At 51.8% G+C, this 27,523-nt stretch overlaps 1 protein-coding gene and 1 long non-coding RNA gene across 8 annotated transcripts in view, besides 6 other annotated features; both read left to right on the top strand.

Moving 5' to 3' along the window:
* CTNNBIP1 (catenin beta interacting protein 1) overlaps window positions 1-27,523 on the top strand; it is a 61,994-nt gene that overhangs the window by 13,883 nt on the left and 20,588 nt on the right. The window contains exons 2-8 of one of the 7 annotated variants that reach the window (XM_047425763.1): window positions 2,144-2,249; window positions 6,021-6,193; window positions 9,153-9,773; window positions 12,649-12,682; window positions 18,398-18,482; window positions 24,299-24,418; window positions 25,110-25,200. In XM_047425763.1, the coding sequence (XP_047281719.1) occupies window positions 9,749-9,773; window positions 12,649-12,682; window positions 18,398-18,482; window positions 24,299-24,418; window positions 25,110-25,200 (355 nt within the window). In that variant the 5' untranslated portion in view covers window positions 2,144-2,249; window positions 6,021-6,193; window positions 9,153-9,748. Of the gene's footprint in view, window positions 1-2,143; window positions 2,250-6,020; window positions 6,216-9,152; window positions 9,774-12,648; window positions 12,683-18,397; window positions 18,483-22,229; window positions 22,354-23,994; window positions 24,135-24,298; window positions 24,419-25,109; window positions 25,201-27,523 lie in introns of those variants that run through there. The other 6 variants (XM_047425762.1, XM_047425765.1, NM_020248.3 and 3 more) reach the window with 6 other exon arrangements.
* Window positions 9,006-9,594: an enhancer, noted in NCBI's record as "H3K27ac-H3K4me1 hESC enhancer chr1:9946851-9947439 (GRCh37/hg19 assembly coordinates)". NCBI's record gives its function as "activates a minimal SCP1, AML or CMV promoter by ChIP-STARR-seq in naive H9 embryonic stem cells {active_cell/tissue: H9 hESC(naive)}" and the evidence as "EXISTENCE:reporter gene assay evidence [ECO:0000049][PMID:30033119]".
* Window positions 11,670-12,459: an enhancer, noted in NCBI's record as "H3K27ac-H3K4me1 hESC enhancer chr1:9943986-9944775 (GRCh37/hg19 assembly coordinates)". NCBI's record gives its function as "activates a minimal SCP1, AML or CMV promoter by ChIP-STARR-seq in naive and primed H9 embryonic stem cells {active_cell/tissue: H9 hESC(naive and primed)}" and the evidence as "EXISTENCE:reporter gene assay evidence [ECO:0000049][PMID:30033119]".
* On the top strand, window positions 12,689-16,440 carry LOC124903838 (uncharacterized). Its single transcript, XR_007065456.1, has 2 exons — window positions 12,689-13,213; window positions 15,512-16,440. It is a non-coding gene; the product is annotated as an uncharacterized LOC124903838 (long non-coding RNA).
* Window positions 15,359-15,408: an enhancer, noted in NCBI's record as "active region_140". NCBI's record gives its function as "activates an Ori minimal core promoter by ATAC-STARR-seq in GM12878 lymphoblastoid cells {active_cell/tissue: GM12878}" and the evidence as "EXISTENCE:reporter gene assay evidence [ECO:0000049][PMID:35858748]".
* Window positions 21,232-21,431: a silencer, noted in NCBI's record as "silent region_236". NCBI's record gives its function as "represses an Ori minimal core promoter by ATAC-STARR-seq in GM12878 lymphoblastoid cells {active_cell/tissue: GM12878}" and the evidence as "EXISTENCE:reporter gene assay evidence [ECO:0000049][PMID:35858748]".
* Window positions 23,177-24,104: an enhancer, noted in NCBI's record as "H3K4me1 hESC enhancer chr1:9932341-9933268 (GRCh37/hg19 assembly coordinates)". NCBI's record gives its function as "activates a minimal SCP1, AML or CMV promoter by ChIP-STARR-seq in naive H9 embryonic stem cells {active_cell/tissue: H9 hESC(naive)}" and the evidence as "EXISTENCE:reporter gene assay evidence [ECO:0000049][PMID:30033119]".
* Window positions 24,105-25,033: an enhancer, noted in NCBI's record as "H3K4me1 hESC enhancer chr1:9931412-9932340 (GRCh37/hg19 assembly coordinates)". NCBI's record gives its function as "activates a minimal SCP1, AML or CMV promoter by ChIP-STARR-seq in naive H9 embryonic stem cells {active_cell/tissue: H9 hESC(naive)}" and the evidence as "EXISTENCE:reporter gene assay evidence [ECO:0000049][PMID:30033119]".

Here is a 27,523-nt window from a genome sequence, read left to right as displayed (position 1 = left end):
TCGCACTGTTTTCTTTGCCTGTGTTTTCGTCTAATACATTCACTCCATGTTTTATACATTAAAACTTTGATCCATATCCAAGGTATCAAAGCCAGCATCACCAGAATTGGGGCAAACTGGCATTATGCACTTCTAGTGGAACACTGATACATCAGATACATAATTTCTTGTGAAAGTGTTTAAGGAACAATTGGCCAAATCCAGATTGTGGAACATCCTAAAGACAAGGGTCCTGGACTCTAAAAAATGTTAATATCCTGATAAACAAAGAAAAGCTGCTAAACCACTCTAGATTAAGTAGGTTGAAGAGCATGGGAACCAAATACAACTGAGATCCTTGATCCAGTCCTGGATTAAACACAAGTGAAGGCCAAATTGAGGGGGAGGGGGAATTGGGGAAATTTGGATATGGGGTGGATATCAAAGATACTACTTGGTCAATATTAAATTCCTTGGGAAGGTCGGGCGTGGTGGCTCACACCTGTAATCCCAGCACTTTTGGAGGCAGAGGCAGGAGGATTGCTTGAGGCCAGGAGTTCAAGACCAGCCTGGGCAACATAGCAAGTCCCATCTCTTAAAAAACAAAACAAGGCCAGGTGCGGTGGCTCATGCCTGTAATCCTAGCACTTTGGGAGGCCAAGGCGGGTGGATCACGAGGTCAGGAGTTCGAGAGACCAGCCTGGCCAACATGGTGAAATCCTGTCTCTACTAAAAATACAAAAAATTAGCTGGGCATGGTGGCGTGCACCTATAGTCCCAGCTGCTCGAGAGACTGAGGCAATGGAATCGCTTGAACCCGGGAGGCGGAGGTTGCAGTGAGCCGAGATCGTGCCACTGCACTCTAGCCTGGCGACAGAGCAAGACTCCATCTCAAAACAAAACAAAACTAGGCTAGGCATGGTGGCTCACGCCTGTAATCCCAGCACTTTGGGAGGCTGAGGCGGGCGGATCACGTGAAGTCAGGAGTTCAAGACCAGCCTGCCCAACATGGCAAAACCCCATCTCAACTGCAATACAAAAATTAGCTGGGCATGGTGGTGGGTGCCTATAATCCCAGCTACTTGGGAGGCTGAGGTGGGAGAATCGCTGGAACCCAGGAGGCGGAGGTTGCAGTGAGTTGCAATTGTGCCATTACATTCCAGCGTGGGTGACAGAGTAAGACTGTCTCAAAAACAAAACAGGCCGGGTGCAGTGGCTCATGCCTGTAATCCCAGCACTTCGGGAGGCCGAGGCGGGCGTATCATGAGGTCAGGAGATCGAGACCATCTTGGCTAACACGGTGAAACCCTGTCTCTACTAAAAATACAAAAAATTAGCAGGGCATGGTGGTGGGCGTCTGTAGTCCCAGCTCCTTGGGAGGCTGAGGCAGGAGAATGGTGTGAACCTGGGAAGCAGAGCTTGCAGTGAGCCGAGATTGCACCACTGCACTCCAGCCTGAGGGACAGAGTGAGACTCTGTCTCAAAAAAAAAAAAAAAAAAAATAGCCAGGCATGGCAGTCACACTTGTGATCCTAGCTAGTCAGGAGGCTGAGGCAGGAGAATCTCTTGAACCCGGGAGGCGGAAATTGCAGTGAGCAGAGATCACACCACTGCACTCCAGCTTGGGTGACAGAGCGAGACTCTGTCTCAAACAAAAAACAAAACTAGCCTGGGCAACATGGTGAAACGCCATTTCTACAAAAACTATAAAAATTAGCTGGGTATAGTGATGCATGCCTGCAGGCCTAGCTATTTGGGAGGCTGAGGTGGGAGGATCGCTTAAGCCTGGGAGGTGGAGGTTGCAGTGAGCTGAGATTGCACCACTACACTCCAGCCTGGGTGACAGGGTGAGACCCTGTCTCACAAAAGAAAAGAAAAAAAAAAAGCAGTCGAGTGTGGTTGTGCACACCTCTAATCCTAGCTACTCAGGAGGCTGAGGGGGGAGGATCACTTGAGCCCTGGATGTTGAGGCTGCAGTGAGCTGTGATCGCACCACTGCACTCCACCCTGTGTGACAGAGCGAGACACTGTTTCAAAAAACAAAACCAAACAAACAAGAATTCCTTGGGGTGTTAATGATATTGTGGTTATGTAGGAGAATGGCCTTAGGAGATCTGTGCTGAGGCATTAGCCAAGTATCATGATCTCTGCAATTGACTTTCAGATGGTTCAGGAAAAGCAGCAGTGTGCGTGTACCTTGACATATACCCACAGCACAGAGCCATAAAACATATATAGCAAAATGTGAACAGTGGGACTCCAGGAGCAAGGTATGTGGATGTTCTTGTACTGTTCTTTTAGCTCTTCCGTGGCTTTGGAATTTTTCAAAAGAAAAAGGTGAGGAGGAAGAAAAAAAAACAACTTTGTTCCATCTGGAATTGATTTTGATTGCAGGTCCTTTGGTTGCCGTGGCCCTCCTGGGTTATTGTCCTGGATTTCTGGTTTCTTTGTCCTTTTACAGCATGTACAATAGTCAGTTTCCCTCTCTCTTAGGAACTTCTTTTTTGGGTGAGTTATTCTTTTTTCGGACTTGGAAGTTTTTATGATTAGTGTCTTTCTGGCAGACTTCAGTGACTTTTCTAGAAGCAGGTAAGACCTAGCATGCTTTGTCCTGTGCGTTGATGCCTTTTTTGGTTTTGTTTTCGTTTTTTAACATTGCATTATGTGCTCCAAGGAAATTTGCAAGGAAGTTTTGTTCTCTGGGACTTAAACAAAGTCTTAATCCTCAGAAATCATCTTAATCATCAAATTAATGTGTCGTGTAATTAACCCTCTTCCAGTGACCCTTGAGATAAGCTTTTTCCTCTCAATGGAGAGTTTTTGCAGGAGGGCAGGTCCTGCTTACATTCTTTGGATATGGGCTTGTAAAGACTCCTGGGTTTCATTTTGTAAAATGTAACAGTCTTGGGTGAGTCGTTGGCCTGGAAAAACTGGAGTCTTTTTGCCAGGGGAGCTCTTAACAGACCAGTTTTGCCAGAAGCTTCTGCTTCCTTTCTGTGGTTTGGTGACTAACAGTTTCGTGGCTTTGGGAAAGGGGATGTCATTACAAATGGGTGATGGTGGTTCGTCTCCTGAGCTAGTTTGCCAGGGTGTGCCCAGATCTGGGTGTTCATGCCTGCGCCCATTGTGACTAGGGACAGTTTCTTGGACACTTTACACTGGCCGCCCCTGTGGCTACTCTCCTGAGCTTGTCTGTGGTGGCTTTAACCTTGAACAAACCCTCCAGGGTTTGTGGGTGGATTCCTATTGTATCAGGTGCTGTATTTTCCCCTCTTCTGGAGCAAGTGCGTCTTTTCTGATCTTCCTTCCCTTCAGCTCCAGCTGCCACTGTCCTTGCCTTCAGACTGGACAAGGCCTTGTGACCCATCAGGAGTTTTTGTCCCGATACCGTTTCCCACAGTAAGTTAATGGGATAAACACATGGGAGATTCTGAAGGGGTCTTTGTTTAAAGCATTGTTGATTTTGATTATTGGCTTGTTAAACATTTGGAGAGGAAGGAAACTGAGTCCTCAACAGCCTCTTAGGGGGAGGTTTCCTCCTTCCTTGGATTATGTTTTGTTCCGAGGTAGCTGGAGGGGAAAGGATCAGGAAGGTCGCCTCCTGCTTAGTAGAGCAGAAGCAATCACCCAAACAAGCAAGCAGTGTGGCTCACGTGATGCGTGGAGCCAGGAACCCTGGCCTCTGTAGCACAGATGGGTGTATTTGCGAAGTAAACAGATACACCTATATCTTTATGCAAATTAACACATACCTTTATGCTGACAGCCTGTTGGAAAGAGGCAGTGGCCTTAAAACTTCTTTTCTTTTTTTTTTTTTGAGACAGTCTCGCTCTGTTGCCCAGGCTGGGGTGCAGTGGTGTGATCATAGCTCACTGCAACCTCAGACTCCTGGGCTCTTGGGATCCTCCCACCTCAGCCTCCCAAGTAACTGGGCCTACAGGTGCAAGCCACTGCACACCCAGCTAATCTTTTTTTTTTTTTTTTTTTAGACGGAGTCTCGCTCTGTCCCCCAGGCTGGAATGCAGTGGCGCGATCTCGGCTCACTCCAAGCTCTGCCTCCCGGGTTCACGCCATTCTCCTGCCTCAGCCTCCCGAGTAGCTGGGACCACAGGCACCCACCACCACGCCTGGCTAATTTTTTGTATTTTTAGTAGAGACGGGGTTTCACCGTGTTAGCCAGGATGGTCTTGATCTCCTGACCTCATGATCCGCCCGCCTCAGCTTCCCAAAGTGCTGGGATTAGAGGCGTGAGCCACCGCGCCCAGGCTGCACCCAGCTAATCTTTTAAAGATTTTTTGTAGAAGCCAGGCTCGGTGGCTCATGTCTATAATGCCAGCACTTTGGGAGGCTGAGGTAGGCAGATCACATGAGGTCAGGATTTTGAGACCAGCCTGGCCAACATGGCAAAACCCTGTCCCTACTAAAAATACAAAATAAAATTAGCTGGACATGGTGGCACGCACCTGTAGTCCCAACTACTCGGGAGGCCGAGGCAGGAGAATCACCTGAGACTGGAAGGCAGAGGTTGCAGTGAAACGAGATTGCGCCACTGCACTCCAGCCTGGGCGACAGAGGGAAAGAGCGAGACCCCATCTCCAAAAAAAAAAAAAAAAAAAAAAAAAAAAATTTAAAGAGATGGGGTCTTACTTTATTGCCCAGGCTGGTTTTGAAGTCCAGGCCTCAAGCAATTCTCCTACCTCAGTCTCCCAAAGTGCTGGGATTACAGGCATTTGCCACTGTGCCCAACAAAACTTATTTTCCGAAGAGTTTGATTGGGAAGCGTTTCCCCAGGAGGCTGCACCTGGGGTCTCTCAGCCAGGTCCTGAGGATGACCATCCCCAGAGCCGGGTGGTGAGGAGGGGGCTGCTTCCGGGGGCACAGTCCTGCAGCCGATCCAATTGATTTAATGACCTAATCCTCACCACAGGAAGCTGGAGGCTTTCCCAGCCCTGGGATTCTGAGGGGATGCAGCAAACTCAGTTCAGGAAGCTTGTTTGTTTGAACCAATTATAGAGGCTTTAATGAGGGAAAGCTATGGAGGGAATGGGGCAAGGGGAGAAGAGCTGGAGAGAGAGGTGCCTGTTGAGAAGATCTGGGTGACCCTCAGGCAATGGGAGGGCCGGGCCATGCCCAGGCCTGCCTCTGAGGATGAGGCTTGTCCTTGTGGGAATGGGGTGGCGTGAACATGTCAGTGTGGTTCAGAGTGAAGGGACCTTATGTACCTTGTGGAGAAACGTGAGTGCCCCCCACCCCCGCCAAAAATAGCACTGTGTCAGTTTTCCCCCTTTCTTCTTGAAGTACTTTTAAATTTCCTAATGTAATTAAAATTTTAAGCTGTGACCCTGCAAAGAGCTGGCATAGCTTTTGACAGCGGGATTGATGGAGCTTCCATAGGTCAAAATTTCCAGTCTGATCGCACTCTCTGGAGGTGACCCGCACTCTCTGGAGGTGACCCATGCTCTCCAGAACCTCTGGGCCAGGCTCCATCCCTGGAATTACTAGGTCTGGAAGTGGTCCCTTCCTGACAGAAATGCAAATTAATTTGCCTTTTGGGGACTTAGTCAGCTTGCTGGGGATCTCTCTGGTGTCCCAGGAGAGAAAAAGCGTTCCTCTACCTCCAGTTGACACAGAGGATCTTTTGATGCCTTTGCTCAGGAAGCTTCCTGCCAGGTGCACAGCCCATGGGGAAGGTCGGTCAGGCCTGGGAGGCCTCATACCCAGGAGTGAGGGGGCGCTTGTACCCATGCAAGAGCTAGGATTCCAGCCCTTCCATTGGCTTATAAATAGAAGAAGGCTCTGGATTCTGCATTAGTAACCCCTCTGGAACCTGCCAGAGGCTGAAGGTAATGAGTCAGACTGAATTAAAGGAAGATCCGTGGCTGGATTTTGTAGGCGTGCTGGTTCCTGACTTCAGGTCTCAGGCTCTGACTTGGCCAGGTTCCAGGGCTCCAGCTGTTCTCTGGGAAGAAAAAAGAACCTCTTTTAAAATTAAGCCGAAAGATGCCTTTCTTTTCTTCTGTCCTTGTCCCCCCACTGTGCAGAGAGAAAACCTCCACCAGCACGTCCCCTTGGTTAGAACAGTAGAGCCTGAAGACATAGCCCAGGATCTTCAGTGTTCTGGGGCAGCCAAGGAAACTTCCTCAGGCTCCACATGCCTTCCTGTTTGCATTGTTTTCAGCTGAATTTCAAGAGGCTGTCAGAGCAGGCCTGCCAGGTACTCTTGCCTCTGTAAAAAGGTGGGTTTCACTCAATTCAGGACTGGAGAGACAACGAGATCTGGGCCAGAATCACAAGGATAAATATTTTAAACCAGAAGATGTAAACAGATGCCTCATGCCAATCCAGTTATAGGAACATGCAGGTTCCTCCAGCTCCTTGGTGTGTTAGGATTATCTGAAGTGAGGCCATGCAAAGGCTGGGGGGCACTTCCTTCATGGTTCCCATTCACTTCACCACTCGAGGAGCCCCAGTTGTGGCTAGCAGTGGTGTCTCACCTGTCCAGATTCTTCAGCACAGAGCCTTACAAGTTTTTCTAGGGTCCACAAAAATATTGGCCATGTGGGAAAAAAATATATCACTCCCTCTACTCTTGTGAGTTACGTGAGGATTACATTTAATAAGAGATGTGGGTTTGTTTTAGTATGTCTCTGAGAATAAGGTTCCCTGGGGCCTATAAAGGCCTTAAAACCACCCCCGGTCTGTCCTCAAAGAGCTTCCAGTCTGGTGGTGAACATTTCTCAGATATCCAGGTACAGTGTTGGGGCGGTGATGCGAGAAGAGGAAATGCAGGCGGATGTGCAGACACAGGCCTCGAGGCAGCCCAGAGAAGGTGTTGTAGAGCAGAGAACATCTGTGAGGCTTGGTCTCAGGAATCAGGGAGGGAAGGAAGTTCTAGGTGGAAAGCATAGCAGATGCAGAGGCCCAGAGATGTGGAGGGAGCCTGGTGCAATCGGCAGCTCCGAGATGGCCCCCTAGTAGGGCTTCTCACTCAGCTCTCCAGACGTGGGGCTGGATAATTATTGGTGGTGGGCACTGATCCTGGCCTCTACCCAGCAGGACCCTACTAGTCGTGACAATCAAAAATGTCTCTAGATATTGCCACATTTCTGCCGTGGGGCAGAATCGCCCCCATTGAGAGCCACGGCTGTAGAGGGAATATGAGGGTAAGCTTGGATCTGACCGCCTGCCTCAGTGCGTGGGAGGGACAGAAGGAGCCCTTTCTTTTTGCTTCCTGTCCAGCGTGCAGGTCCTGGGGAAGCTGTCTCCAGGCAGGTTTGTGCCTGTGCTGGAGCACTTTGGTGTGTGTGGCATGCCTGCTGGTGGCCTGCAGAGCTTGCTCTGAACAGGAGCCCCTTCATAGAAAGGAGGATGCCCCAGTGGTTCCAGGCGCCTCCCTCCCAGCCTGGTTGCCGTGTCAGTACCTTTCCTGCAGTAGGTAGGCGGCTCAGCTGGGTGCAGCATTGCATTCTGGCCATTGCGGGGCTGTATTGAATGAGGTCAGGTGGATTTGATTTAAATGCTCCCAGAACCTTCCGAAAGGGCCTTCATCAGAGAGCTCTGGACCTGGAACAGCGTGCACGGCACTGCTGTGAAGGGGACAGGCGGGCTACTCTGATCTCGGAGTGTGCATAGGGCAAACTGTTGAGAATTCCAGAATCACTCCCACGGCAGCAGACCTGTAGCCAGAGAGGAAAGGGTCCTCCTGCATTTGGGCTTCATGGCTGCCCCCACTGGAGGAGGGCTAGCTGTGGCTAACATGGGGTGGTCTGGGATGCGATGCAGATGGCACTGTGTGTAGACAGATGCAGGGCCTCTCCCCATCGCCTTACATTACCATTTCTTAATTTTTTTTTTTTTTGAGGCAGTCTTGCTCTGTCACCCAGGCTGGAGTGCAGTGGCGCGATCTCGGCTCACTGCAGTCTCTGCCTCCTGGGCTCAAGCGATTCTCCTGCCTCAGCCTCACACCCAGCTAATTTTTGGTATTTTTTAGTAGAGACGGGGTTTCACCATGTTTGCCAGGCTGGTCTTGAACTCCTGACCTCAGGTGATCCGCGCACCTCAGCCTCCCAAAGTGCTGGGATTACAGGCATGAGCCACCGCGCCCGGCCACCATGCCCAGCTTTTAAATTTTTTTTTTTATTTTTTGTAGAGATGGGGTTTCACCTTGTTGCCCAGGCTCAAACTCCTGGCCTCAAGTGATACTCCCACCTCAGCCTCCCAAAGCGTTGGGATTACAGGCATGAGCCACTGTGCCCAGACCATATTTTCTTTTTAAAAATTAATTAGCGGGGTGTGGTGGCTCATGCCTGTAATTCCAGCACTTTGGGAGGCTGAGGCAGGTGGATCACTTGAGGTTAGGATTTCAAGACCAGCCTAGCCAACATGGTGAAACCCCGTCTTTACTAAGAATACAAAAATTAGCTGGGTGTGGTGGTGGGTGCCTGTAATCCCAGCTATTAGGAGGCTGAGGCAGGATAATCACTTGAACCCGGGAGGCGGAGGTTGCAGTGAGCTGAGATCGCACCACTGCACTCCAGCCTGGGTGACGGTGTGAGACTCCATCTCAAAAATAATTAATTAATTTCTATTGGTATATAATAATTGTAAGCCTTATTTTCGAATTAATCTCTGATTGGCAGTGGGTTGGACTCTAGCCGTTTTTCTTTTTCCTGTAAGGTGGATTTTTCTTTTTCTTTTTTTTTTCTTGAGACGGAATCTTGCTCTTTTGCCAGGTTGGAGTGCAGTGGCGAGATCTCAGCTCACTGCAACCTCTGCCTCCTGGGTTCAAGCAATTCTCTTGCCTCAGCCTCCCGAGTAGCTGGGATTACAGGCGTGTGCCACCATGCCCAGCTAATTTTTGTAATTTTAGTAGAGACAGGGTTTTACTATGTTGGCGATCTCTTGACCTCCTGATCTGCCCGCCTCCACCTTCCAAAGTGCTGGGGTTACAGGCGTGAGCCACTGTGCCCGGCCCACATTTTTCTTTTAATTTCAGTTAAAATGGATAATGCGTCTGTCAACTCCTGAGCCAGAAGGGGCTGTTAGGAGAGAGGGAAAGCATGGCCTTGGATCCAGGCTTACCACTTATTACTCCATGGCCTCAGGCAGGTTACTTACCTTCTCTGAGCCTCAGTTTTGTCATCCATAAAATGGGAATAATTCCTACCTTGCAGGCTTGTGAGGGCTGACTGACTCTGCCACTCTGTGCCTGGACTTAGAAAATGCTGTGGTGACAACAGTAATTATTCTTCGGTAGCATCACCTGGCTTCAGGGAGCAGGAAGGAGCTTTGCATCAGGTTTGAATTGGGGTTGGTGACCTCAAGACACATTCCCCATCCCAGGCTTATCCCCTAAGAATGGGGCTGTGGCCTGCAAATGCCATGCCTCACTAGGAGGCCTGTTTTGTCCTAGCTCTGCTGGTGGAGTGCGGTTCGGGAATACCGAGCGTGGCTGTGGATGGAGGAGGCTGCAACGTGGAATATATTAATTAAGGCGGTTGCTCCTGAGGCCTGAGAGTCTGGGAGGTTGTTGCAGTTTAATTACTGAGAGTGGAGCGTGTGGAAATTCCCTCTGGCACTCCCTTTTTTGATGTCGCTAGAGGACCTGAGGTGCTACCTTGTGTGGGACTCTAGCAGGAGCTGCGGCAGGCCTCTGCCCCCCGTCCCCCTCGCTGGCTCAGAGTGACTTTTTACCCAGGTACTTGTATACTGGAGAGCAACAGGGCAGAGCGGTTGAGACCTTGAACAATCTGGGTTCCATCCTGCTCCGATGTGGACTAGCTGGGCCATGACAGGTGAGTTATGTCACCTCTGTGCACCATGGCATGCCCATTTGTAAAGCCCTGTAGGGACGTGTGTGGCGAAGACTGAATGATTCACTTACCTGAGAGTTGCCAATGGTGCAAGGCACAGAGTAAGCCAGAGTACGTGTCAGCTGCTTCTTTAAAGCAGTGCTCTCGACCTGGCAATTTTGTCCCCTACGGGACACATGGCAACGTCAGAAGATATATTCGATTCGATTGTCACAACTGGAGGGGGGCTGCTACTGGCATCTAGTGGGTGGAGGCCAGGAATGCCTCTCAGCTTCTGCAATGTGCAGACAGCCCTCCAGCAGAAACGCACCCAGTCTGAAATGTCAGCGGCACCCTGCTGAGAAGTGTTCCCAGTGATTCGGGGCAGCACTCAGACTGTGGAAGCAAGGTCCCCTCCCGCCTCTCTGTCCCTTATCATTCCTCTGAGCCAGCTGGGGACTGACGGGCAGCTGGGAGAGAAGAGGCGAGAAGCTGAGGGTATTAAAAGCCTTTGAATTCTTACTGTTTATTTTTACTCCCATCCCCCATACTGTAACAAAAAGCATTTACTTACATGGTCTGTGTCATTTTCTTATCTCATTAGTATAGTAACTAGAATTTATTGAGCCTTTGCTGTATACCAGGCACTCACTGGGCCAAGTGCTTTTTTTTTTTTTTTTCCTCAAGATGGAGTTTCACTCTTGTTGCCCAGGCTGGAGTGCAATGGCACAATCTTGGCTCACCACAACCTCTGCCTCCCAGATTCAAGCGATTCTCCTGCCTCAGCCTCCCAAGTACAGGCATGCACTACCAACACGGCTAATTTTGTATTTTTAGTAGAGACAGGGTTTCTCCATGTTGGTCAGGCTGGTCTTGAACTCCCAACCTCAGGTGATCCACCCGCCTTGGCCTCCCAAAGTTCTGGGATTACAGGTCTGAGCCACCGCACCTGTCCTCTTTTTTTTTTTTTTTAGAGACAGGGTCTTGCCCTGTCACCTAGGCTGGAGTTTAGTGGCATGATCACTGCTCACTGCAGCCTTGATTTTCCAGGCTCAAGCGATCCTCCCACCTCAGCCTCCAGAATAACTGTGACTGCAAGTGCACGCCACCACACCTAGCTAACTTTTGTATTTTTTGTAGAGACGGAGTCTCATTATGTGCCCAGGCTTCAAGTGCTTTCTTTGCATGTTATCTCATTTTCACAACCTGCCCTTGAGGTAGGTGCTGTTATCACCCCCTTTCTACAGAAAAGGAAACAAAGGCTCAGAGATGGAAAAACCTCTTAAAGTCTAAAATTCAGCTCGTGATTGTCCCCCAAAATTGTTCCACTTGCTTCTCCCCATCTCAATTGATAGGAATGTCGACCTTCAGCCACTTAGACTGAAAACCCGGGAGCCGTCACCATTGCCCCCACATCCCACAGTGCGCTCCCTGTTGTCTGCCTGTGCCACGAGTCCCCAGCTGGCTGCCTTGAACCCTCACCCTCTGCTGCTGCCCTCTCACCTGAGACACCAGCAGATCTGCCTGGATTCCTGCCACGGCCTCTACTCTGGCCCTGGGCCTGTCTCCATTCAACAGTCAGGTGGTCCTGCTGGACCCCGAGTCAGACCAGCCATTCCTCTGCTCCCAGCTCCCAGCTGCCCTTGTGACACAGGCCCTGTCCCCTCTTCTGCCTGGGCCTGTTCCACCGCAGCCCCACCCCAGTGCTGGCCTGCAGCCGCCCCTGTGCCCCCACCATAGGGCCTCTGTCCAGCTCTGCTCCCCAACTCCCTCCCTCACTGTCTTCCCGTCTTTGCTCAGGAAGGGCCCGCTGCCCACCCTCACACTCCTGTTCCCACTCACCCGCGGGTTGGCCCCAGCACCTGTCTTTTTCCTGTGTGCTAAGGATTTCCCCATCACTCGTGTTTTATTGTCTGCCCTCCCCTCTCTCTAGGATGTACATACGCATTTGGGGCTGGTTTTTCTCTGATGTGTTCCAATTCATAGCAAATGCTTCTCATCCTCCCATGACAGCACCTTCCTCTTCCTCAGGGTTCCTTGGGCAGCTGACTCTGAACTGGTGACCAGGTCCCCTTGGCTCCCACACCTTGTCCTGGTTGTGACCTGCTAGATAGAAGCTTTGCCTGTGGGTCCGGGTGGCTCTGGGCAGCCTGAGTCTTCCTTTCAGATCCTGATTTCTGTTGGGAGGCCTGGGGCTGGGCAGCTCTCGGGGATTAAGGCCTGGCTGTCTTCCCTCCTCCCTTGAGCTGTGGGGTCTACAATGGTGCTCTCTTCCTCCCCAGACTGCCCTGCCCCAAGGGCTGCCATGGCCCCTGGTGAAAGCCTGGCTGGCTGCTGGCTGATCTCTCCCTCCCTGCTGTGGGCTGGGGAGTGTGCCTGGAGCCATTCCCAGGAAAGGGCATCCAGTTAACTGAGCTTAGCTGGTCCTCCCCTCTGGCCCAGTCCCGTCGCCCCCACTCACTGCCCAGCAGCTGTTGGGTCCCTTGTACCCCGGCTCTGCCTACAGGCCCAGCCACAGGCAATCTGCTGGCCCAGGTGCCCTCCCCCTTCCACGGGAGCCTTTTCTGTGCCTCTGCCTCACTCTCCCCTTCCTCTGCTCCCTGCCCTCCTCCTCCTTCCTCCTTCCCCATGGATTCCCTCCCTCCTGCCCACAGCATCTTCAGACTCCCGTTCCCCCACCTTCTTCCTCCTTGACTGTTTGGGTGGTGACCTCCCCTGAGCTCCCCCAGCACCGTTAAGTCAGCCGACCCACCTGGAGGAGGCAAAGCCGAGGTTAAGACTCACCTGAGGCTGAGCACAGCTCTCAGGCAGAGCAAGTGGGGGCCAGGGCACCTGGGAAAGGACAGGCAAGATTCTGCCCCTCTTCTCCCTCTTGCAGGGACCGACAGACTTGACAACGGTGACAGCACTGGGTGAGTACTGAGTTCCAGGAGGACCATGAGGAGGGAGGGAAAGGGTTTCTAGGCAGAGGAAGAAGAGCAGAAGCCACTCATCCTCCCTGCTCTCCTTGTGGGCCTGCCATGCCACACACCAGGTGCTGGATCAGGCTGGCATGGGGTTGTTACAGCTACTGAAGCAGCCCCTGTCCTGTTGGAGCATGTGCATGGGGGGCAGTCCCATGCTTAGTGAGGGCTGTGATGGGGACAGGAGCCTGTGGGGCCTGAGTAGACATGGGATGGGGCAGGTGGACCTCTCCCCTGCCCTGCTCTGCCTCCTTCATAGAAAACCCACTGGTTCCTGCCTCTCGGGAGCAGCTCTCACTGTTCTTGCTCCCTCTCTGCCCTGCACCTGGGCCTCGTGAGGTCCTGCCTGTGGTGTCCCACCTGCCCTTCCACACATCTCACACAGGGCTTCACATGAATCCACCCAGACTCCGGTCTTCCTGGGAGACCACTCTGCCCGAGTCATCTCCTGACCAGGGCCCAATGCCCTCCGCTTGGCAGGTTGGACTTCCTTCCAGAGAGAGGCTCCCCCGGTCCCTGACCTACCCTCCTGCGCCGTCCCGCTGCTGCCACCCAGGCACCCGCTGTTCCTGACTGCTCTGGCTCTGCGTGCCCACAGAAGGAGCCCCCTGCCCTGCGGCTGCCCCACCCGTGCTTGCACGTGTTTTCTTCCTGAGGCCCCCCATTCTCACTCCAGGCCAAGTAGCCCCCAGAAGTGCCCCTGATGTTTCCCGGAACTAGCTTGTCACCGTGTTTCGATTCTGGCCCTGGAACCCTCTGCAAATGTTCACCGTAGTGCTGACTTGATCCCAAGGGCACGTGCACTTGTGCCATTCCTCTGCTTTTGCGCCTCCATGGGCTTCTCAGTCCCAGCTGTCCAGCCTGTCCTTTGGGGCCTCACCCTGGACATGTGCCAGGCCTCTCCCCACAGCCACAGCCACAGCCCCACTCTTACACTCCTCCTGGCTCTTCTCTACCCAACCAAGCCCCTGCCTGGCTGCTCCCCCTCCTCTCCTGCTTCCTGCTGCTCCACCCCAGCCTCTGCTCCACACCTTGGCCACAGTGGTCTTTTCAAGCTGAGGCTTGACTTCCTTCTGCTGAAACACCTCTTCCCCTCCCACTGAGTGCCCCTGTGGTCCAGCTCTAACTTGGCCTAAGCCACAACTCTTCCTGCTTCGGGCCTTCCTACGTGTATGCCACCCCTACCAACTCCTCCTTCTCCTCCAGGCTCCCAGCCGCACATCCCCGAGGCGACTCAAACTTAACCTTCATGTTCTTTGTCTCAGTGTCTGAGATCATTGATCTGGGTGACTTGACTGGTGTCTGTCTCCCCCTGCTCATTGGAAGCCTCTCATCACATGTGAGCCGTGGCTCTTTTGCTCACCTGTGTATTCTCAATGCCTGCCGTAGAATAGATGCTCAGTAATTGTTCGCTGAACTTCTGTGTCTTGTGCCTTCCCCTTTCTCTCTACCAGCAAACTCCTGTTCATCCTTCAAGGCCCAGCTCCAGTGACTTCTCCCTGGAGCCATTGGCAGCCAGCCTCTCCCCTGCCTTCCTGCAGAGCTCACTACACCCCTTTGCTCTGCCACTTCCTATGCTGGCTTAAGGCCCTGGGTCTTCTTTCCTCAGGGGAGATGCTTGGCACAGTACATAATATGTGGTTGGCACTGTAGGAGGGTTTGTGTCTTGACCTAACATATCTTTTTGGCTCATTATCATGTATTATTTGTGTGGTTTTCTCTTTGCCTTGTGTTGTGTGGTTTCCTCAGCCACTCAGTCAACTGGAATGCAGGCTCAGTGTCACGGCCCCAGTTCTGTACCTTGTGCTCCCCAAGCCTGGTTCAGGGCTGTGTGTACCTAGAAAAGTTTCAGTAAATCCTTCTTGAGTCCATTTAGTGTCTACTTAAGGTTGTGGAACCCTTGGCAGTTTGAGAAGCATCTTGACCTTCTTTTTCTCATTCTAGACCAGCTGTATCATTTGCAGGGCTCAGTGCAAGCCCCCTTGTTCAGAAATTATTAAAAATTTCAAGGCTGGGGCCCAGCGTGGTGGCTCATGCCTATAATCCCAGCACTTTGGGAGACTGAGGCGGGCGGATCACCTGAGGTCAGGAGTTTGAAACTAGCCTGGCCAACATGGTGAAATCCGTCTCTACTTAAAATACAAAAAATAGCCGGGTGTGGTGGCGGGCATCTGTAATCCCAGCTACTCGGGAGGCTGAGGGAAGAGAATGGCTTGAACCTGGGAGGCGGAGGTTGCAGTGAGCTGAGATCGTGCCATTACACTCCAGCCTGGGCAATAAGAGAGAAACTCCATTCTCAAAAAAAAAAAAAAAAAAAAAAAAAATTTCAAGGCTGGGTGTGGTGGCTCATGCCTGTAATAAGAGGCGGAGGTGGGAGGATTGCTTGAGCCCAGGAGTTCAAGACCACCCTGGGCAACATCATGAGAACCTGTCGCTACAAAAAATATAAAAATTAGCCGGATATGGTGGTGCATGCCTGTGGTTCAGCCATGCAGGAGGCTGAGGTGGGTGGATTGCTTGAGCTAGGGAGTTCAAGGCTGCAGTGAGCCATGATTGCACCACTGTACTCCAGCTGGAGCAACAGAGCAAGACCCTCTCTCTCAAAAGAAAAAAAAAGAATTTAAAGATGGTGAGAGTAGAACAGTAAACCAAGCATGGGGCCCTCCTGAATGCAGGCCATGTGTGACTGTCCAGGCCTCAGGCCCAGGAAGCCAGCCCTAGTCTCACCTCCACTGAGGGAAGACGTGATAGAGGTCACGATCTATCTCCTTTCTACAGGTGGTGAAATGAAGTGCACAGAAGAGCAATCACTGGCCTCACGGTGCACAACCAATCAGTGACAGAGCAGAACTGAAAACTGAATCTAGTTATTGGAGCGTGCTTACTGTCTTACATGGATGGGCCCTGGGGTCCAGGGACTTTGAGCCTCAGTTTCTTCCTCTGTAAACTGGGAACATTGACCTGACTATAAAAATGACAAATATAGGTGATTATTAAAACATCAGGAAACAATAAATGCTGGCGAGGCTGTGGAGAAATAGGAACGCTTTCACGCTGTTGGTAGTAGTGTGAATTAGTTCAACCCATTGTGGAAGACAGTGTGGCAATTCCTCAAGGATCTAGAACCAGAAATACCACTTGACCCAGCAATCCCATTACTGGGTATATACCCAAAGGATTATAAATCATTCCACTATAAAGACACATGCACACTTATGTTTATTGCAGCACTATTTACAATAGCAAAGACTTGGAACCAACCCAGATGCCCATCAATGATAGACTGGATAAAGAAAATGTGGCACATATACACTGTGGAATACCATGCAGCCATAAAAAAGAATGAGATCGTGTCCTTTGCAGGGACATGGATGAAGCTGGAAGCCATCATTCTTAGCAAACTAACACAGGAACAGAAAACCAAACATCGTATGTTCTCACTCATAAGTGGGAGTTGAACAATAAGAATACATGGACACAGGGAGGGGAACAACACACACCGGGGCCTGTTGGGGGGCTGGGGGCAAGGGGAGGGAGAGCATTAAGACAAATACCTAATGCATGCGAATCTTAAAACCTAGGTGACGGGTTGATAGGTGCCACAAACCGCCATGGCACATGCGTACATACCTGTGTAACCTGCACGTTCTGCACATGTATCCCGGAACTTAAAGTAAAAAATAAATAAATATTTTTAAAATGGCAAATATGCTGCTGTTTGGTTAGCAAAAAATAAAATAAAAAATTAAATGACAAATAGAACAGCTGTCCGTGAATCCCTGGACAGTCCCTATCCTTTGACCCCTTCCCTGGAAGTCAGGAATACAGTGTTCCCCTCTGCTTCTTGGAAGGGTCTGAGCCCTGTAGACGGGAATGATAATTGGCTGTCATGGTAGTAGAAGAAATTAAAGCCCTTCAGAAGTAGAGGAAGGCTCTCTTTTCACTCTTTTCATCTCTTTTTGAAAGAATGTGGGGACTTGGGTGGAAAGTTCCCCAGGGTTCCTTGGTATTTTGGTGCTTTGATATCTAGAGGAATAAAAGAGCAATTAATTGCTATAAATGGCCTATTCCCGTAGGGTTAGTCTGACGGTGGAGGCGGTGGCAGTGGTGGGTGACAGCTCTCCTATCCCAGGGCCAGTGCTGGTTAAAGGGACACACAGAACAGAGAGTCAGAGGTTTACAGCGATGTCTGACTTTAGGGGAGGCTTTTGAAATCCCGCTTTCTCTGGAAAACATGTCTTCCTCAGCCCCTTGGGTCATCGAGCAACTTTCTTTTCAGAATTCATTGAAGACAGTGGGTTTCCAAGCTGTCATTGGCCCCGCACCTCTCTCAGAACCAGTTTCTCAAAGTGTTGTCTGGCAGCCTTTCCCCCACTACAGGGCTGACAGCGGAGAGCCCTGTGGTAGTAGAAGAGTGGGTAGTAAAAGTGGGTGTAAAAGCACCCATTTTTTTTTTTGAGATGGAGTCTCACACTGTTCCCCAGGCTAGAGTGTAGTGGCGCGATGTCAGCTCACTGCAAACTCTGCCTCCCAGGTTCAACCGATTCTCCTGCCTCAGCCTCCCAAGTAGCTGGGATTACAGGCGCCCGCCACCACGTCCAGCTAATTTTTTGTATTTTTAGTAGATACAGGGTTTCACTATGTTGGCCAGGCTGGTCTCGAACGCCTGACCTTGTGATCCACCTGTCTCGGCCTCCCAAAGTGCTGGGATTACAGGTGTGAGCCACCGCGCCTGGCAAAATTACGCACCTTTTACAGAACGTGGTTGTCTACCGCATAATATATAACCACAGACCTGTGCCCTCACCATTTATTGGGATGATTGATACATGCCTTGGAGATGTGAGGTACTGGGTCTTGCACCCCAGCAGAGCAGGTGGTGCAGCTGGAGCGGGTGGGCAAGGCTCCCAGCGCCCCTCACAGCCTCCTGCTTCTCCTGTGTCTCCGCCCACTCGGCAATCCATGCTCTTGCTCCATTAACCTGTGCAGGTGACCTGAACGATGAGCTCCTGTGTAGGAGGCAGAAGAAAAGAAGGCAGTGTTCTGAGATTCCTGCCAGAGGTGTATTGGGGGCACGTAGACATGTGGCTAGGCTGTAGGTCTGTGAACAAGCTGCGACTGTGCTTTTCGTGTGTTTCTAGCATGTGTGTTAGTTGATGTTTAGGTGCACAACTGAAGCACACAGACACATATACATGCACTGAGCACAGAGGCTGCGGGGTGCTGAGCTACCTGTGCCTCACTTGTCATGTTAGATTTGGTAGGTGGGGCATTCTCTTGTGCAGGTGCAGAACTTGGCCATCAACTTTCCTGGAGTGATGCATTCTGGTCCACAGTGTCTCTGAACACAGCGTCTCAATTAGACTTGGTGACTAAGCCAAGGGGAGCAGGGGGTGTGGTGTTGAGCGGACTGACCTGCTTCGGCCGGAAATGCCAGGCCAGCTGAGCTGCCTTCAGCACCTTATTTATCCCAGAGGTGTGGGTGCAGGTTTCCTGGGCTTGCCAGACACACAGGTATTTCTGGACCACGGCAGAACCCAGCTCCATGAGCTTCCCGCCAGCGGTTGTGCATCCTCAGCATGGGGCGTGTGCTCCAGGCCCAGCCCTGGCAGCTGCCTGGGCCCTCCCGACTCCTCCCACAACCTGTGTTCTGTGTTTCTGCAGGGCGGCACCTTCCTACTTCTGCCCAGCCACAGCCCTCCCCTCACAGTTGAGCACCTGTTTGCCTGAAGTTAATTTCCAGAAGCAGGTAAGGCCCCCAGGGGAAGGACTCTGTAATGTGGCCATACAGTAGTGTGGGGTGGGGGGTGAGGAGTCCTATTGGACGCCAGGCTCCAGGGCTGATCATGAAGTTAGCTCATCTGTTACCTTTCACCGTGAGCCCCAATGATGCTCATTTCTCCAGATGTGTTGGGTCTTCTGGAGAATGTTAGGGTGCTGCTGATTTCTTTTAGGCTAAGACATGTACAGATTCTGGATAATATTTCATATAAGCTCTAGGAACCACCAATTCTATGGCATTGTATTTTTTTGCAATGTAAACATCATGAAAGTGTAAATTGTACATTTTTAAATGTATTAGAATCTATCACAATGTGTTTTAAAATGGACAAAACAAAAGACGAGTGCAGGGGCTGGAGGCAGCTCATGTGTCTGAAGGAGCAGCTTTGCTCCCTGGCCTCGCCTGAGCTTACTTGACATCTTCCTAGCAGGTGCAAGACCGCCCTGGGTATAAGTGAATATTCTAACATAGATAAATGTGGATGTTCAAGAGCATTAGCTTCCAGTTTAAAAATAAAAAGGAGTGCAGGTGGCTGTGTTTGTATTCAGGGCCACTCGTGCCTGTCAAAGCGAGGCCAGCTTTCAAAGCTCTTTATTAGAATGGGTTGCATTTCCCAGACAGAGACCCATACAGGGAGCCACAGCCGTCCAGCCTCCAACTGCCGCATGTGACTTTCAGCAGTCTTGTTCTCCAGGTCCCTCTTGCACTACCTCCTAATTCTTCTAAAGTGAGATCAACTGCTTAAATGCTGGAGATTACATGGTGGTCGAGATTAGGTCCCTGCAAAGGCTGGGAAGAAGTGTGGCATCTGAGCGTGCCTCTTACAGATGCCCTTGGGTGTTTCCCTGAGAACGTGTTGTGGCCTGTGGAGCCAAGGCCAGTTCTCCCGTTGTGTGGACCTTTCACAGTGGTCAGGAGCCACTTCCTCACCATCCTTTCCTGACCAGCCAAGCTTCCTTCAACAGAGAGGCAGCTCTGAACTGTGTGTGTGTGTGTGTGTGTGTGTGTGTGTGTGTGTGTGTGTGTATGTATAGCAGGAGTGTGTCTCTGTGTCTAAATTGAAGGTATGTACCTTAATGTCTTTTCATTGTATTTGCCCCAATCAGATGTCATTTTCTGGGATGGCACCCACTTTTTGCAGAATGTGTGGTTGCCTACTACATAATAAATAACCATGGACCTGTCCCTTCACCATTCATTTGGATAGTTAATAGTTGCCTGTTGTTTCTTTTCTGTTTTATTGTTTTTGTTTTTTGAAATGGAGTCTCACTCTGTCGCTCAGGTTGGAGTGCAGTGGCATGATCTTGGCTCCAGGCAACTGCCGCCTCCCAGGTCCAAGCGATTCTCCTGCCTCGGTCTCCGAGTAGCTGGGATTACAGGTGTCTGCCACCTCGCCCAGCTAATTTTTTGTATTTTTTATAGAGACTGGGTTTCACCATGTTGGCCAGGCTAGTCTCAAACTCTTAACCTCAGGTGATCTGCCCGCCTCGGCCTCCTAAAGTGCTGGGATTACAGGCATGAGCCACTGTGCCTGGCCTGTTTCTTTTCATTTTCCTTTTTTTGGCTTACCTCTGACTTGGGCAGCTAATAGAAATTTTCTTAGGATTTGGAGTGGAAGCGCCACCCCATTTTAGACGCTGGAATGTTTATGGGAATAGCCAAGAGACCATAATTGAGAACCATCATTACTTTTGGTTCTCACGTTCAAGGACTGGATGAATAATTAGTGTGTCTAATTTAGTTGCAGTTTTAGTTTATGTAATTTAAACATAGTTTAATGGAGACCAGTTTTTGATCCCTACAGGGGAAAATAAGATTTCTCAAGTGAAATGAATCTGATGCTTGTCAGAATTGTGATAAAAATATAATAGCACGTTTGCTTGTATAGGCAACAAACAGAGACATACTTTAATATACTCGTTGAGCACCATGACTGAAATGTCTGTATTGTTTGGGTTGATTATGATTTATTCTCTCCAATTATGAGTTTGCTCCACACTGACACCCTTACTGCAGAGGAGAGAATTATGTAAGCCAGTCACGGTGTTTCTGTTTGGGTTGGAATGGGAAGGGTGGGAACATGTGCTCCTGGCTGCATTTCTGCTCCAGATCCAGCCCTGAGTGTGCCCTCTTGTTAGGCAGCAGGGCGGAATCAGCTCAAACTAGAGCTGGAAGAATTCTCCATGACCACGCTTTTTAGAAAAGACAAGTCAAGGGTCTTCTCTGTAGCGAGAAGAACTGTCTCTTGCAGGGAAGTGAGTTGAAGCAGGAGTAGCCTGGCTCCAAAATGCAGGCGCAGACGACACCGCAGGCCCACAGCTGGGCAGCCCAAGCCCTAGGAATCCCAGTGTGAGGTGTCCCCGGGACGGCGAGGCTGCACCAGCCGGGAAGACGGGGCGGCACCTATCAGTGCGAGCTGTTCATAGAAGGCTTGTTGGACAGGGCAACATTCTGTAAAGCCGGCCCCATGGAGGCGGTCTGTGATGGAAGCAGTCTTTGATATGGAACTGACGCTCCTCTGGGAAGCACCTACTGTGTACCTGGACCACTGGCTCCTGGGTGGATGCGGCGGCAAAAACCAGACACCAGTCCTTCCCTGGGCAGGGGTGGCTCTCTGAATGAATAAATAGATCTTGCCCTGGGACCCGGGGCTGGAGTGTGGTTTGTGATAGTACGATTGGAATAGGGAGAGCCAGAGCAGGAGTGATCTGCTTCCCACGTCGGCTAAGGACTGGTCGGCTCGAACCGGGTGGTCTGGGGCCCTGGGAGAACCTGCTGGGGGTGGGGAGGAAGCAACGCTGGCGCTTTTGTGTTTGGCGACACCTAGTGGCCAGGTCCTTGTATTTCACCCTGTCTCTCACCAGGAGAGAGCAAATGAAAACTAGCCCTTAGGCACAGGACAGAATTGGAAGGTTTTTACTCTTGGAAGCCCTAACTCCCAGCTCAAAGGCTTTACGGAGCATTTCAGATGTTCTTTGGAGAACACAATAGCCCAAGGCCCACTACTTTGAAAGTGTGAGTCCTTTGGAAAAGCTAAATTTGGTTATGGGAGACTGGGTTAGGTACTTGGTCTCTTAACACAATGACATTTGGGCCTAGATGGGTGTGGATATTGCAGAGTGGGAGAAGCTCAGACACCACAGGCTGTTTCACTATTCCATTTAGCCAAGCGGGCAGTATTTATTAAGTGCCTGCCAAGTGCTAGTCTCCCGGAGGACAGGGGTGAGCACAGCAGAGGGGGCCCTGGCCTTGGCAGTGGGCAGTGGGCAGAGACAATAAGCAAGTTCTCCAACAGGGCACTTTCAGAAAATCAGGACAGGCGGGCATGGTGGCTCATGCCTGTTAATTCCAATATTTTGGGAGACCAAGGCAGGAGGATTGCTTGAGACCAGGAATTTGAGACCAACCTGGCTGTGCAACATAACAAGACCTCTACAAAAAAATTTAAAAGTGGCAGGGTGTTGTGGCATGCTTCTGTGGTCCCAGCTAGTTAGGAGGCTGAGGCAGGAGGATCGCTTAAGCCCAGGAGTTCAGGGCTGCAGTGAGTTCTGATCATACCACTGTACTCCTGGGCACCAGAGCAACTGCCAGGGAAGGCTTCCCTAGGAAGGTGCCTTTACACCAAGACAAAGGATGGAAAGAAGCCAGTTCCTGGCTTAGGGGACACCCAGTACAAAGGCTGCCAGAGGGAAAGAGCTTCTCCGCATGTTCTAGAACGGACGAGTGCCAGGAAGGCAGAGCAAGGGGAAGAGGAAGAAGAGACAGGCTGGAGAGGGAGGCAGGGCTGACAGCGGAGCCCTGGCAGGGTCTTGGCAAGGATTATGAGATGCATTCTCAGGTAGGTTTAAGGTAGGAGTGATATCATCTGTTTTGGGGAGGATGAGGTGGGAGGATCACTTGAGCCCAGGAGTTTGAGACCAGCCTGGGCAACATAGCAAGACCCTGTCTCTACAAAAAAATGTTTTTAAATTAGCCAAGCGTGGTGATGTGCACCTGTGGCCCTAGCTTACTCAGGAGGCTGAGTTGGGAGGATTGCTAAAGCCCAGCAGGTTGAGGCAGCAGTGAGCTATGATCGCGCCACTACACTCCAGCCTGGGCGACAGAGGGAGACCCTGTGTCAAAAAATAATCAATAATAAGATCATTCTGGCTATTGTGTAGAGAAAAGGACAAGAAAGGAAGTAGGGGGATCATGAGGAGGTTACATAGTAACCCAGATCCAGGTGGCCACTGGGGAAGAGGTGGAGACCGCATCATCATCCACACCCAGGTTCGGGGTGCAAGGTTCACCCCACAAGGCTGTGTGGAGTCCAGCTCCAGATTGGCAGTGCTCCACATCTAGTGAAGTGGAAGGAAGTGAGAATGGGTCAGTGCGAGGAGTGATACCCCAGAACAGAGCTTCCCTGCTCAGCTGCACAGGAAATTATGGCCTTCCCCATGCTGGGACGCAGCCTGGCCCTGGGGAGTGGCTGGGGGTCCTTCTCATCAGAGACCATTCCTGAGGCAGTTTACTCCTCTTTCCTAGCTCCCAGTTATCACTTAGGCCATTTTCTGGGCCCAGGAGGAGGTGGAAGGGGAGCAGACAGAGTAATAGAGTCTGGGCTGTAGGGGTTTAGCAGAAGTTGCTGGAAAGAGACCTATGCCGCATCCAGCATGCAGCTGCTATTAGCTTATTGTGTGCACTTTTAGGATGAGGGCCCCATTAGCTTATGGGGAATGAGCAGTTGACAAGTACCTACAGGGAGGCTGCTGCCCGGGCTCTGGCACATTGCTGAGGCTGCCCTCTGCACAGAGAGCCACCCTGCCTGGGAAAGCCCGCTGGTCCAGGGTTTGCTGGTCCTGGAGGGATGGATGGTGTGAGGAGTGTTCTTGGCCTGCCAGCTTGGTTCCGTGGTTCTCCGAGCGCAGTTCCTTGGCACCAGGGCTGATAAGGCTCCACCCCAGCAGCTGCTGCGTTATTTCTGACTCATCCAGGAGTTACCAGTGTGTAACCCAAGCCCCTCCATACCCAGCTTCCTCTCCTCCAGCTCCTCCTGGAGGGAGGGGGCTCTGGACTTCTCTCCTGGGGACTTTCTACAGGTTAGGTCCCTGCTGCATGTGGACACGCTGCTGGCCTTCCCAGCTGCCTGCAGGAGCTACCCTCTGACAGGTGGGGTGGGTTTGTGAGGGCTGAGGTAGCAAGCCCTGCAACCCTGGGCCAGCGTCTTTCCATCAAGGGACCCCTTGGAGCCCAGCCCAGGAGCCACAACCCTGGCCTCTTAAACTTGTCAGGGGCTTTTGCCGAGGGAGCTGTCTCAGTGTTTGGGGGCTGGGCACTGATCTCACAGTTTCTCGAGCCAAAGGCCCTAACCAGTTGCCTCTGATCCCATCACTTTTTTGCCCCTTGTGGAAGTTGTTCTGAAAACCTGGGACATTTGGGGCTTCATGCACCACGTGTCCTGTGGCTTGTAGCAGGAGCTTTGCTCTGGGGTGATTCACAGGTAGAAACAACCAGCAGTCCAGGTCATCTCAGTTTTCCTGGACGCAGCAGCTTCATGCACAGAGGCAGCAGGCAGGCCAGCCCTTGCAGCGCCTGCTGGAGAACAGAGCTGCTCAGTTCAGCCTGCTGGGACCAGCATGGGTGAGAAAGGAACCCAGCACCTCGCCACCTGCCCCATGCTCCCAGAAGGGAGACTGTGGGTGGAAAGCGGCTCCTGGGAGGAGTGAGGGTCACTAGCAGGTGTCATTGTCCCAGTATGTCACATCCTGATCTCTTCCCTTTTGATGCTGTTGCTTGCTCTGCAGGAGTCCCCAGAGCCAGGCAGGGGGATGAACCGCGAGGGAGCTCCCGGGAAGAGTCCGGAGGAGATGTACATTCAGCAGAAGGTCCGAGTGCTGCTCATGCTGCGGAAGATGGGATCAAACGTGAGTGCCTGTGGGGTGTCAGGCAGCGGGCCCCCAGGGAGGGTCTCCCAGGGAGGGGCCCTGCTGGGCTATTGGAGGGTGGAGCCACTGCGGCTGCCTCCTGCGGAGCCACGGGCTGAGGAGGGGCCGCTGGGCCTGTGGCTTGGCTCTAGGGCTGCTTCTGGCCCCCTAGGCACAGAGCCCAGCACGTCAAGTTCTGGGGACACCCGACACTGCCGGATTGGGGCCAGGCGGGTGAGGGTCTCAAGGCCCTGACCTTCCTTTTCTCCCCCTCACAAGCCCGAAAGTCTTCTCTCCCAGGGGGCAGCTCAGGGACAACTTGTCAGGACAGGAGCTGAGGGGGCAGCAGGCATGCATGTGCAGGGGTATTTCTCAAAAAGAGTGGAGGGACATGGAATCGCCCCTCAGCCTTCCGGGCAGGACTTGTGTCTTCCACTGGCCCTATACTAGAACAGACCTTAATCTCAGATTCAGTCTGAGTGGCAAAGGCTTTGGACCCCTGGACCAAGTTTAAGGAGGGTGGGAGTGGGGTGGGCTGGCCCTGAAAGCAAAGGGGTCAAATCTCAGAAACAGAAGCCCGAGCAGGGACCAAGCAGGGACCAAGCAGGCCTAGGCGGTGCCTCTAGGGGTGCAGGTGCCTTTCAGGGAACAGGTGCATGCTGCCCCTCACCACAGCTCTCTCACCCTGCAGCTGACAGCCAGCGAGGAGGAGTTCCTGCGCACCTATGCAGGGGTGGTCAACAGCCAGCTCAGCCAGCTGCCTCCGCACTCCATCGACCAGGGTGAGTTGGCGGCAGAGGGGCTGGGGCAGTGGCACAAGTCCCAGGGGCACCGACTTGTGGTTCCCTTAGAAAGCGTAGCTCCAGCCCTCTTTGATGGGTGATCCATGAGACCCAGGGCTGACTAGGAGGGGCTACAGCTCTCTCCACCCACAGAGCTGAGCCAGGAAACCTTCGGAGCCTCCCACCTGATCCCATCTCCTTCCTCAGGTGGGAGCCAAAGACTCTACAAGACAAATGGCAGGATCCCTTTCTAAGGCCTGGAAGAGGCAGGAAATGGAGATGTCTGGGGGCGCTCATAACTGCAGAGACTGATTATTGCATTTCTTTAACCTTTGGCCTGACCCCTACCCACCCAGCACCCTGTCCAGGAGAGAGAAACTGCCCTTGTGTGCTAGAACAATGCTGTCACTGTTGTCCTGAGCACAGACCACATTGTGGCTGGTGTGGTCCTGGCTGTGGCCAGGAGGAATGCCCCAAAGGCCTGATGTCTCCGTGCGCCTGAGGGAGTTCTGTCTTTTTGGGGTGACCTCAACAAGTCAGCATGGTAACAGGCAGGATGTGAGTGTTTGTTGTGTAGCAGGCACCGTTGTTTCATTCTATTGTAGGTAGCTACTATTTGTATTATTAATACTTCCACTTAACAGGCAAGGAAACTGGGATTTGGGAACAGTAAGCCACTTGGTCATGCAGCCAGGTGGTTACTGGGGAGTCCCGGGATGTACACCTGTGGCTGAGGAGCGCTTCACTGTCTGCCATCTTGCCCATAACCCACATGGCTACTGGACAGCTCCATGTCCCTTGGCTGCTCAGCAAGGTTCTCCTTCTCTAGAAGGCTTCTCATGACACAGAGGCCTAGTATTCTGACCAGCATCTCCATAGAGTCCTTTCCTTTTATTCTCTTTATGCTTTGTTGGAATGATTGGCCATGAAATATTACAACCTGTGGCATGTCCAGACGCGAGCGGGCCCCCGAAAGCAGAGTGCTGACGGCTGCGTTTGCTGTGCTTTGAGGCTGGCATGCGGGGCCTGACCTAGATCACCAGCCAGCCCTTGTTCTCCTGGATGTCTTAGGGCTCTGTCCTGGCACAGGGGCCTGTTCCCAAGCACCGATGCTGGGTGTGACCTGGCTTGTGCACCCAACTCAGCAGAAACCTTCCAGGCAGTGGCTCAGGCAGCTCCCTGGGACAGCAGCTCACCACGCACAACCTGCCTGGGTGTGTCTGCCCAGGTGTGCCTCCTGGATCATGCGGCAGCCTGTTCTATGTGGCGTCGGCTCCCGCCCCATCCTGGGATCTCTTGGGTGAGGTCTCTTCTCTTCCAGGGCTAATCTGGGTTTCTAGCATGGCACCCTCTACCATGGCTTCTGACTCATGTCAACCTGAAACCTTCAGGCTTCTGAGTCCCTGGAGACTCACCTTCCTTCCCACTTAGTCTTGGTCACTGAGTTAACCTGAATTTGAGCTCGGATGGTAAGAAAGCCTCCAGTTGAATACTCTTGGGAAAAAATCAAAATAGGAGACATCAAAATGTAGGACCATATGTCAGTATAAAAAGCAGCAACAGGCCGGGTACGGTGGCTCACAGCTGTAATCCCAGCATTTTGGGAGGCCAAGGCAGGTGGATCACCTGAGGTCAGGAGTTCTAGACCAGCCTGACCAACGTGGCGAAACCCCATCTCTACTAAAAATACAAAAGTTAGCTGGGCATGGTAGCATGCAGGTGTAATCCCAGCTACTTGGGAAGCCAAGATCTCACCGCTGCACTCCAGCCTGGGCAGCAGAGCAAGACTCCGTCTCAAAAAACAAAACAAAACAAAACAAAACCCCAGCAACAACACACATACACACAAGACACAAGCTGTATATGCACATAGAAAAAAAAGCTGGTGGCCAGGTGCAGTGGCTCACGCCTGTCATCCCAGCACTTTGAGAGGCCATGGCAAGAGGATTGCTTGAGCCCAGGAGCTCAAGACCAGCCTGGGCAACATAGGGAGACCCTCTCGCTACAAAAAATACAAAAACTAGCTGGCTGTGGTGGCACACGTCTGTAGTCCTAGCTACTAGGGAGGCTGAGGTGAGAGGATCGCTTGAGCCCAGGAGGTTGATGCTGCAGTGAGCCATGATCGCACCACTGCACCCCAGCCTGGGCAACAGAGGGAGACTCTGTCTCATAAATTTAAAAAATTTTTAAAAGACAAAGAAGCTGGTGGAATATATACCAGACTGTCAGAAATTTTGTTTTTGACAAGGGGTGCTGGGCGTGGTGGTTCATGCCTGTAATCCCAGCACTTTGGGAGGCCAAGGTGGGCAGATCACCTGAGGCC

Source organism: Homo sapiens, chromosome 1, assembly GCF_000001405.40.
Source record: "Homo sapiens chromosome 1, GRCh38.p14 Primary Assembly".
Taxonomy (NCBI): Eukaryota; Metazoa; Chordata; class Mammalia; order Primates; family Hominidae; genus Homo; species Homo sapiens.
Note: the sequence above shows the minus strand (reverse complement) of the source record. Positions and strands in the feature narration are given on the sequence as shown.